This window comes from Homo sapiens, chromosome 6 (assembly GCF_000001405.40).
Source record: "Homo sapiens chromosome 6, GRCh38.p14 Primary Assembly".
Lineage (NCBI taxonomy): Eukaryota > Metazoa > Chordata > Mammalia > Primates > Hominidae > Homo > Homo sapiens.
In genome coordinates this window covers 74,669,518-74,681,859 of record NC_000006.12, presented here as the reverse complement: position 1 = coordinate 74,681,859, position 12,342 = coordinate 74,669,518, and the positions used below count along the sequence as shown (strand labels likewise).

The following is a 12,342-nucleotide window of genomic DNA, read 5'->3' as shown; positions in this document are numbered from 1 at the left end:
TAATAAAATAAAAATAAAAAAAGAAAACATACTATGATTATGGTTGGATGACTTAATATTATCAAGATGTTAATTCTTGCCAATTTAACTAGTGAATCATTGCAATTCCAATTCTTACTTCAGCACAAATTTTTAAGAAATTTCCTCAAATCCAAGAGCTTAAATAATTTTGGAAAAAAAGTGCAAATGTAGATGAACCCCCATGATAATAATGGTGAAATTTTTAAGTTAGATCATGATTTTTATTTTTTTATTTTTAAAATTTCCATTTATGTTTTACATTCAAAGGGTACATGTAGAGATTTGTTACAAAGCTATATTGTATGATGTTAAGGTTTGGGCTTCTATTGATCCTATAACCTAGATAGTGAACAATAGTACCCAATAGGAAGCTTTTCAGTCATTGTACTCTTCCTTCCCTTCCTCCTTATGAAATCCCCTGTGTCTATTTTTCTCATCTTTATGTCTACATGAGCAAAGATTCAGTTCCCACTTAAAAGTGAGAACATGTAACATTTGGTTTTCAGTTTCTGCATTAATTCGTTTAGTCTAACAGGCTCCAGCTACATCTATGTTACTGCAAAGAACATGATTTTGTTCTTTTCTATGGCTGTGTAGTATTCCATAGGGATATACTTCATTTTCTTCATCCAATCCACCATTGACAAGCAGTTGGGATTCCATGTCTTTTCTATTGTGAATAGTGCTGCATGTGTCTTTTTGTTAGAACAATTTATGTTCCTTTGAGTATATTCTAAGTAATGGGATTGCTGGGTCAAATGGTAGTTCTATTTTTAGTTCTTTGAGAAATCTCCAAACTGCTTTCCACAGGGGCTGAACTAATTTGTATTCCCACCAACAGTGTATAAGTGTTTCCCCTTTTCTCCACAGCCTCAGCAGCATCTGTTGTTTTTGACTTTTAATAATAGCCATTGTGACTGATGTGAGATAGTATCTCAGTGTTTTGCATCTCATTGATTTGCATCTCTTTGATGATTAGTAATGTTGAACATTTTATTCAAATGTTTATTGGCTGTTTGTATATCTTCTTTTGAGAAATGTCTGTCTTTTGCTCACTTTTTAATGAGGTTATTTTTCTTGTTGATTTGTTTGAATTCTTTATAAAATCTAAATATTAGAATCTTTACAGAATCTAAATATTAATGCTTTGTCAGATACATAGTTTGCAAGTATTTTCTCCCATTCTGTAGGCTGGTGGTTTACTCTGTTGATAGTTTATTTTGCTGTGCAGAAGCTGTTTAGTTTAAGTTCCATTTGTCTATTTTTTATTTTGTTGCATTTGCTTTTGGGGTCTTCATCATAAATTCTTTGCCAAGGCCAATGACTAGAAGAGTATTTCCTTGGTTTTCTTCTAGATTTTTTATAGTTTGAGGTCTTACATTTAAGTCTTTAATCCATTTTGAGTTAATTTTTCTATATGGTGAAATGTGGGGGCCCAGTTTAATTCTTCTGCATACAGTTTTTCCAACACCATGATGGTTAATTTTATTTACTTACTTGTCTAGGCTATGATGCCCAGTTGTCTGATAAAACACTAGTCTAGACTGGGCATGGTGGCTCATGCCTGTAATCTCAGCACTTTGGGAGACCAAGGTGGGCAGATCACGAGGTCAGGAGATCAAGACCATCCTGGCTAACATGGTGAAACCCCATCTCTACTAACAATACAAAAAAATTAGTGGGGTGTGGTGGCATGCACCTGTAGTCCCAGCTACTTGGGAGGCTGAGGCTGGAGAATGGCATGAACCCGGGAGTCAGAGGTAGCAATGAGCTGAGATCTTGCCACTGCACTCCAGCCTGGGCAACAGAACAAGACTCCATCTCAAAAAACAAACAAACAAACAAAAAACAAAAACAAAACAAAACAAAAAAACAGTAGTCTAGATATTGCTGTGAGAGTATCTTGTAGATATAACTAATAGCTGCCATTGGTTGACCTGAAGTAAGTGAGATTACTCCTGATAATATAGGGGAGTCTCACTGAGTAACTTGAAGGTTTTGAGAGCAAACACTAAGGTTTTCCAAAGAATAGAGAATTCCGCCTCAAGATTGTAACATAGAAATCCTGTCTGAGTTTATAGTCAGCTGGCCTGTCCTAATGATTTCAGAGTTTTGATTCTTCACACTCACATGAGCCAATTCCTTAATCCTTTGCCCATTTGCCCTGAGAACACAGCACTTTTGCTGCAGTGGTTACCCCGAGATAATTTTGCCATGAAATATCTTGCTTTTATTATTATTTTTGCATTGCTCTAGTATGTCAACTTTGGAAACAAAAGACATCATTCTATTTATAGCATTCTGGTTTTAGTAGTGGTATTTCCATTTACAAAATATAGTAATTCTCGATTGCTGAAAATGTCAAATCCTAGAAAATGTGGAATTCCTATTCATGATGTTAACATCGTTCTTGAACAGCGAGGATTCATTTGATGAATCTGATGTTTCTGAAATAGATGATCCTGATGATTCAGATGATTCTGATGTTAGTGCTGTTTAGAAATAACTCCAAGAACTGTTTTTATTTTATTTTTACATTGAAAATCAGTCAAATTTGCTTCATCCTCAAAAAGTGTGTTTGTTTATGTAGAATAAATGCTGGCAGCAAGCTGCACTTTGTTTTTCTAAATGGGAAAAGGGTTAAAAAACTCTCTTTTTTTCTCTCTAAGATCAATCTATGTATGTAGGTATGTATGTATCTATCACCTATCTATTTATCTATCTATCTACCTGCCTTTCTTATTGGTTCTGTTTCTCTAGAGAACACTGACTGACAAGTTATAATAGATATGCTACAAAACTATGGTGATTGAATTTTTTAAAAGAACAGTGATGAAAATTTTAACAGGAAGGAAGAAGAGGGGAATAGAGGAGAAAAGAAAGAAAGTGAGAAAGAAAAACAGAAGAGAAAGAAGAGGAAGGAAGGACAGACAAGAAAGACAAGTAAGAAAGAGCAAGAAAATAAGTCATTGTGGTAACGGTAGAGGATCATATCAATAGATCAATGGAACCGAATATGACCCAGAAATAGGATTATGGATATATATAGGAACTTTATCATACAGAGGGCACCACAAATCAGCAAACTTGAAAGAGAAAAAAATATAGTTGAATCTCTACATTACAATATCCACAAAGCTAAATACCAAATAGATTAGAGGTATGAATTAATCAATAGAGGTGATATTATTAAAATTGAGTTTTTTCACAAAAATATTAACAGCCTGCTAACAATCTGTCAGAAATCATTCACAATGTCTAAAACTGACAGAGATATTTGATTTAATAGATATAAGAAATAAACATGAAAATAAACAAAACAACATAAAACTGAGAAAACAACAGGCGGTTACCAGAATAGAGAATACAAATGTCCAAGAAAAATAAGGAAAGATGCCCAATATTAGAATTATCACAGGATGATACAGTTTATACTAAAAATACAGGCAAAAGATGCATTTAATACTAGTGGTATTGGCAAAGATTGAGGTAAGATAGTGCAAAATATTGGTGAGAATATGTGGGGTCGGGGATGAGAGCTGAAGTGTATCACCGTAGCGGCGTTCATGAATATATCCTTCCCTGCCAGCATTCTGAATGTAATGTGTAAAATTTTGTTATATATTTTCTTATAACCCAGTGAAACAAGTCTTCAGAAGAGAAACTTTCTCACAAGCCAATCAAGGAATTTGATGGCATTCAACATTACCTTGAGTATGGCAACTGGGACATGGAAATAATTCAGGTGTCCATTTCAAGGAAATGAACAAGGCAATGTGTTGAGTGTATGCTATGTAAAAACTATACCTTCAAAAGAACTGAATGTACATAGCAATGTGAATAAATATTAATAATGTAGTGCTGATAAAAAAAATAAAGCCGTAAAGTGATCTGTGGTATTTTTAAATACCATTTTTGAAAATTAAAAACACAGGTACAGTCAAAACAACCTATAGATTTTACAAAGATGCACAGATATCTAAGAATATGCATTAAACATATTAAGGTAGATGTGCATGGTAGGAAAAGGGAGGGAAGAGTGGAAATTGGAGAAAAGGGAAAAAACTAAATAATCAGAACAGTCCTGTAAAAGGTGGACCATGACCAGACTAGTATAATGATGGCAACCTTGGGCACTCAAGATACTAAAAATAAATAAATAAATAAATAAATAAATAAATAAATAAATAAATATTGTAAAGAAAGGAAATTATTGGACAGACACCCACAGAAGCAGATGATCTGCATATGCTGCATAAAATGTGCATTTTTTAACAAGCTCGCAAGGCCATTCTTACATATATGTAAGTTCAAGTTCAGAATTTGGAATTGGGACTGAAGATACTAGATTTACTTCTAGTTCTGTCAGTAATATGCTCACAGTTTCCTAATTCTCTAGGTTTCCATTTCCTTATTCTTCACTTATTACATAGAATTTATCTTATCTGACTCTTTAGTGAGGAAATTTTTTTTGATGTGAGTATTTTGGAAACATGTCAGTAAAATGATTATTAGATTTAATTAAATTTTATGTACAAACTAAGGAGTTCAGGACTCAGATTTTGTCCAGCCTGTAGAAGGAAACAAAATAGAGACAAATCCTGCAGAATTTGGATGATGGGTATATTTAATTAGGAAAATTGCCAGATCAGTTCTAAAATAGAAGCCAAACATAAAACATGCAAGAAGGCACTGTAGGGTTCTTCCAACAGAGGTGGGAATTTATACGTTGTAGGAGGAATCCACATGGAGAGCCCATGTATTTTAACCACTAGGATTTTAGCATCCAGAGATTTATTTTTACTTTACAGCCTGAAAATATGCAGCTTACAAGAATAAATAACATTTCTTGAAACCATTTTTCTGGAAGACAAAGATTGCTTTCCATTTTGCCCAATCTGGGCAGAAAATGTCATTACTTTTCCCTTTATTTCCCTGCCCAATTATGTACTTACATTTTGGAAAAGGAAAAATGTAATACAAATGTGTAATACTATCCTGAAATCAGACACTATATACAGAGGTTCTTCATTGAAGGGGATTTTTTCCCTCCCTGCCTCACAGATAGCTGGCAATGTCTGGAATCATTTCTGGTTTTCAGAGCTGGAGCGAGTAGGATAGCTATTGGCATCTACTGGGTAGTGGCCGGATCCGCTGATATATATCCTACAATTCACAGGATAGCACACGCAATGAAGAATTATCTCATCCAAATTGTTCACATTGCCACTGATGAGAAACTCTGTTATATAGTATTACTTCATCATTCTATTTACATCATGCTTAATTCTAATGAGCTCTATAGGAAAAATCTAGTAAAATCTCTTACATTTGTTTTACAGACAATATTATAGTATTGAATATATGCTTATGACTGCCCACCATCCATTTAACCATCTATCTGTTTTTCACTCACCGAACTAGTGTGTGTTGGCTGTCTACTATGTGCCAATAATCACGCAAAGCACTCCAAAGCCAAGGAAGAGTAAGACCCAGTCATTGCATTAGAGATAATCTCAGTTCACGTAAAGAAGTGTTATAATACAATCTAATATGGTAAAAAAATCATCACGGTACAACAAGCTAACATAGAGGAGAGAATAATTATATATTGCTATGCTGTATAAATAATAAAATGTAATAAAATCATCACAGCGTTTTAATATGCTAAATACTGTAACATACATATACATATACACACATATATGAAAGTCTAAATACCCAATAAATGTCATTATTTTAATTAATTTTGCATTTTCCTAAGAACTCATCACTCACTTCTGGAGATTTGCCAAATAGAGTTTGAAAGTGCTGTCCTGTCTGTTCACATCAGAGACGATCAATACAATGACACATGCCATATACAGGTAAGATTAGAGAAGTTCTCTGAAAAATCATCATGATGAGGCTTATTTTTTATGCACTAGGCAGCCAAAGTATGAACAATCAGTACATTAAAAATTAAGAGAATCCAGGAAAAAAAAGCATCTTACGTATTAAAGGAGGAGAAAATGGCCCATAATATATTCAATATGTGCCTCTGTGGACTTGGAAAGTCTCTGTAAATAGAGCAGACTCTTTCCCACTTATTTCAAGAGCTACTCATCAAAGTTTTCCTATTGCAAATCTCCTCCATTCTGTTTAATTTCTTTTCAAAATTTTTAGAAATTGAGTATGATATTTGTTACTCATATTTATGAGTAAGGCTATTCATTTTTTTCTAAAAAAATGATTTTGAGATAAATTTGCCACATGAGAAGAGGGAGTCCACCAAGTTTTGTGGTAATAACTTCGACCTAGTCTGGCAGAGCAGGTTTCTTGTAAGGAATTTCTGGGGAAGAAGTGATCCAGGAAGCTGAAGCTCCTGGCCCATAATATATTATGCTGCTTTCTATCAGTCTATGTGATTAGGTGGTCCACATGCTTACTGATACACCAGGCTTGTTGAAACTGATGTCCTTGACTCACAAAGGAAAAAAAAAAAACAATTAAAAGCAGTATAAGTAAATAGACTCCAGGATTGTTCCTGTGTCGTGAACTGATGTGTTTCCTGACATAGCTGACTGGATCAAAAAAATAAAATGTTAGAGATTTTGACATAACAGGGGCATATGGAACAAGTGGTATATGAAGTTACCTTTTTTCTCACTAAGGAAGTTGTAAATGTTCTGTTATAATTTCTTAAAATAGATATACAGAAATTTTGAAAAATTCCAAGCAAGAAAAATATGTCCATGTACCAGAGATATTGCTCTTCTAAGTAAATTTTAAAATATATTATCAATTTCATTTTCAACTTGTTTTCAGAAAATGCTTTTAGTGCCACTATGTTTACTTTTTTTAACTGTATACATCAATGGGTCATTCCACTGAAATATACCCCATATGAACAAGAGAAATTTATCTGATATACCAAAGGCTTCTATAGAAGATAAGATACAAGCTTAAGCACTCAACATTCTCAAACGTCATATGAATAGAAGGAAAAAGTAAATGTGTGAGAAAACCTCTCAGGCCAAAAAGCAGAAAAATAAAGGAAATAATTTACACATTTTCAATTTAATTTACATGTAGAAACTCCAGGAAGGAAATATAAATATAAATATATATATTTGAACAATCATATACATACATATGTATGTATGTGTATATGTATGTATATATATGTCATGTGCCAATATACTTCATAGAGTTTTTTATGCCTAAGGGAAGTTGTCAGAAATGTCATGAGGAATGACAAGAGTGTATGTATATATATGTCATGTGCCAATGTACTTCATAGAGTTTTTTTTATGCCTAAGGGAAGTTGTCAGAAATGTCATGAGGAATGACAAGAATAATAAAATGCATAATCCAGATGTCCAAGTCATCTACATCTCCATGTAGTCAAGATTCTTAAAAATTGTGGTGGAAACAGCAGAAAGGGAACAGAAAGTGTTCCTGCCCTGGATGAACACTCTCTTAATCATACTGTCAATTTCTTTCTTTTCTTTAAATGTTTACTATTTCTGGTTATAAAAGTGACATATTTGTTGCCAAAATATTAAAAATACACAAATAATCTTTTTAAAAGATATTGTTACCACCCAGAATTTAAAGTATATTCCTCCAAAAACATTTTCATCTTAACATTATGATGAAGAATGATCGGCAGCTGTTAGCACTGATTTTGCAGTCCTACTCAGTGTACCTGGACTATGGGCAACTCATGTCAGCATTCTGCCATCGATAGGGATCTTGAGAAGCCCGCCAACACATCTCAGTCAGTCTTCTTTCTAGAGAGGAGAAGAGAGAGGAAGGAAATAGAAGAGAAATAATTAATAAAATAGAGTAAGATGAAGCTGATAGTATTTGTATTTAGAATATTAGCCCTCAGCAGTGAGGAGAATGGGGTCTTCTGGGAACTAGGAAACTAGGAACCATAGGTGGTTCTACATTTTACCTGCCAAGTATTTTCTAGACTGTGTCTAAGAACAAAGATACTGGAGGTCTTTGCATCATATTTTAAAGAAATACTTCAATCTCGGACATTGGTAAATGGAATAAAGGACACTGTGTGTATGTATGTACCCATTTTTCTTATTTTAATAATCAGTGACTTATATTAACTGTTTCCTATGTGTCATGCACTATGCTGAACTTTACATGCATTATTGCATTATTTTTTTTCATTTCATAGATAAACTGAGTAGAAAAGGAAAGATATAACCAACAGTTACAAAGTGGCAGAGCCTAGGCCCAAATCTATTTAGATCTGATGCCAGGGCCACTATCCTCTACCACAGTTCCCTATCCTTACCAGCCCCAACAACTATGTGGACCATTTTTTAAAAGAACGTCTTTCAAGTTATAAGATTTCCAAAAGAAAATTTTTTAACTATTAATTATTAGAAAATTGTGAGATACTATTTTTAAAATGTACTGTGTGGAAAGCAAGTGAAGACTTTGAAAGAGCCAGCCACTGTTGATTAACATTATCTTTATAAAATAGCATGTTTTTTAATCGTTTAATGGTGATGTATAATGCCATAATCAGTTAAAGAGTTTATCTCATGTCATTACATCATCTTTATATTGTATTTTTTAAAAAACAAACTGTCCTGGAACTGAAATAATAATTCCTGATCCATCAATCTTTCAAACATAGCCATATCATCCTAAAGACACTGATAAAATAGAAACAAAAAATGAACTAGTTGGACTTACATTTTGGAAGTGTTTTAACTCCCTCAAATAAATTGAGCAGGTAGTAAGCAAAAAGCCTTCCACAGTACCTGTTGGTATCTTAGTGGGTTAAAAAATAGAAATTATCTGTTCTGTACTCATAAGCATAATGATTTCTAAAATATTTGAAAACAAAACAGCAGGGAGTTGTTTAATGGATAAAAAGTTTAGTTTTCCAAAATAAAGAGTTCTGGAGAGTGCCTGCATAACAATGTGAATGTACTTAACACTACTCAACTGCACACTTTAAAAAAGGTTAAGATGATAAATTTCATGTTATTTGTATTTTACCAAATAAAATACAAGTAAAAATGAAAACAAAATAGCACTGGTCTCAGGTCAGAATTTTCTCTCCTGGCCTTCTCTTCTGCCCCACTCTGAGTCCTCCTTTAACTGAATAAATTCAGTTTGTGAGCAAAAGAAGAACAATTTTCTATCATAATCATTAGAACTTTTAAAATATGTCAGTGGTTTACCTGCCTATTAATTTGTATGATTTCTCATAGTTACTATAAATATTGAAGAATTACTTGCTTTCAGAGTTGATAGATTAAACAAAGAGATCTCTCACTACAGCTTTCCTTTTCTTACTAGAATTTTTTCTGCATTTCTCTGGGACTTATCACAGGGAATGGCAGCCTTGATCACCACCCTTACTGATTATCTTTTACATAGGTTCCAAAGAAGGGATGACAAAATCTAACGCCTACTGCTTGGCAAGTCCCAAAGAGATTTGTACAGATTCCCTTAGCTCATTAGAAACAGAGTTGGAAGAGTTGTTTCTCATGGACACTTGGGCTGTTTCTTGATACATGTCAGCTCTGTGATGAGGCATACCCCAACCTTCTTGTCAGAAGCCAGTTTTGGCATGTCAAAGATGGAGTCACTTGGCAAACTAATCTTCAGGCAGTTAACCATAGAAGACATGAAGTAGTCTATTCCCAAGAGTCCAGTCCCAAGAGTCCAAGCTAATCCTCTGTACCAGAGATTAAGACCACAGTGGAATTCTAGTATATCAGTGCTGCTTGGAAAATGTACACTTTGCATCTTAATCAAAACCCAGTTTCATTATGGTTCCTCCTACTGGGTACTATTTCTTTTGGCTTTAATCTAAGTAGCAGTTGCCCAAAATAGAATCCCCATTCAGCTATGAGTCAAACTCAATTGCACTGTTTATCCTAGAGTTTGACCAGCTTCGGACATCCAGAGCTGGAAATAAAGGATCAAGGAAAACCAACAACTTTCTCAAAATACAGACTGGAACACACGTGCCTCAGCAACAGCTTTGCTGACCCAGCTTCTCCTTCGAGAATTTGGCTTGACTTTGAGGCATTCGTTTTCAGTGAGGTGAATGAAGAGTTGGCAGTCTGGCTCTCACTTACTGTAATTGAGTCAGACAATTAAATTGCTTCCCAGTTACTGACAATGTAAACCACATACACGTTATGTAGGCCACAGCATTCCAGTGGTGCATGTCCAGTATAGTGACTTAATGCCTGGATATGGAGGACATTTGAGTCAAAGCAGTACAGCACGCTGGCACAGCAGATGCACATGTGTGCACCAAGGGAAACACCAAAGGTCTATAGCTTTGGAAGATATCCTAGAATCAGCGCTCCAGCACATGGATTTATTTAGACAAAACAATGTGTTAGCTTATCATTATGCTATAATTTTTGGATAGCTTTCCTTAAAAATCTTAAAATGAAGTGTGTTTTAAAAATATTTTTCTTTACACAGAACCCGCCCCAAAATTCTCCATTTGTCTTCCCAAAATCAAAGTTGTACTTAAAGATGTAAAATAAACATTTTTGCACTAAGTACTTGAAGGAAGGCTGACCAATGTCTCATTCGAAGGAAGGCTGACCAATGTCTCAATCTCAGTTTGTGACGTTATGTAGACTTTGGAGAAAGCCAACTTAGTGACATTGGCAGAACTGAGGAAAGGGGGTAGACTCTGCATATGTTTAACTTGATATAATATGAATGCCAGTGTGTCAATTGATTATTTTAATATCAGTGGTTATGAGGAAGCAATGTGTTTTATAATCAACCTTACTTTCAGGTTAATAGCTATTTTTTAATATCTTACAATTTTATAATACAAAAAATATTATAATCCTATAATACAAAAAATAGACTATTAAAAGTGTTACTTAAGAAAAAAATATTTGATCTGTATTTGGATTTTCCTTGGCAAATCTTACATCTCAGAGCTGTAACCTCCCACTCTGTAAGTTTTTTGGTATCTGGCTCCATCAGCACATGTCGAATGCTAAAGGAATACTTCTCTAGCCTAGCACAAACAGAATTACCAAGATACATTTGTATACATGTATGTGTTTGTGTATGTGTGTGTGTGCCCCAGCCAGGGATCTTTCCTGGGCAAGCATCTTTACTGATTCTTTTTTCAACCTGTTCCTGTACTTAGCATACCATGTTCATAGAATTATATTAAGAGTTTAATGAGGAAATCCAGTGTATTCCTAGTGGGCTTGCTCTCTAAGTCTCCCCATCTCTATTCTGAGTGTTCTGCTTATGAGATTATCTTCATTAGCATTAACCTTTCTCCAATAGTCTTGGGTTAAAAGATAAAGTCTAAACCTGTGAGTCTGGCTATTATTTTGCTACCAAGCTTTATTGCTTTCATTTTGAGTGCAATAAGATTATACATTTCTCAGTTTCAGAGGAACATATTCATGCTAGTTCCACCTCTTTCAGGCTTTCTCAAACGAACCTTCTTCTTGAAGCTTCTCTCATTCTAAGGACGGAGCCAGGTGATCTATAATAAAGGTATACTTGTCCAATTTCCAAGTGTATGCCTTGACACAGTGATAGAACAAAATAAAACACTAATGGTGAAAAATAGTCATTATACCAAGTCCTGTTCCCATTAATTACTTTTTACATTTTCTAATTCAAGGAATGTATTAATTTATATTTCAAGGAATACATTAATTTCTAGTTCACGGAATGCATTGTGATGTTTAGGGGAAGTAAGGAAATAACATGGTTAGTGTATGTATGTCCTATGCTTTAGATAGGCAGATATTCTCATGCTGCTATGAAGAAATACCCAAGATTGGGTAATTTATAAGGAAAAAAGTTTAATTGACTCACAGTTCTGCAGGGCTGAGGAAGCCTCAGGAAACTTACAATCATGGCAGAAGGGGAAGCAAACATGTCCTTCTTCATATCAAGGCAGGAAGGAGAAGTGCCAAACAAAAGGGGGAAAAGCCCCTTACGAAACCATCAGATCTTGTGAGAACTCACTCACTATCACAAGAACAGCATGAAGGTAACAACTCCCATGGTTCAATTACCTCCCATCAGGTCCTTCCCATGACATGTGGGGATTATGGGAATTATAATTCAATATATTTGGATGGGGACACAACCAAATCATATCATTAACATACACACACAACATATACAATTTTAGAACACGGTATTAAAAATACATTTTAAATTTTAATAAGCATTTATATCAGTTTATAAAATTCTTTGTTCTACAAGTCTTTGTTATACAAAGGTTCTTAAATAGCCAAAATAAACAAAGCATATAAATACAGCAAAAGACAAAATTATGACATATAT

General features: G+C 34.2%; 2 long non-coding RNA genes across 2 annotated transcripts in view; one reads left to right on the top strand and one right to left on the bottom strand.

Annotated features, from left to right (window-relative positions):
- LOC101928516 (uncharacterized) overlaps positions 1-12,342 on the bottom strand; it is a 621,277-nt gene that overhangs the window by 8,868 nt on the left and 600,067 nt on the right. Inside the window, exon 3 of the long non-coding RNA NR_110856.1 lies at positions 7,712-7,796. This is a non-coding gene — a long non-coding RNA (uncharacterized LOC101928516). The remainder of the gene's footprint in view (positions 1-7,711; positions 7,797-12,342) is intronic.
- Positions 1-12,342, top strand: part of LOC105377858 (uncharacterized) — a 140,187-nt gene that overhangs the window by 52,506 nt on the left and 75,339 nt on the right. The window lies entirely within an intron of this gene.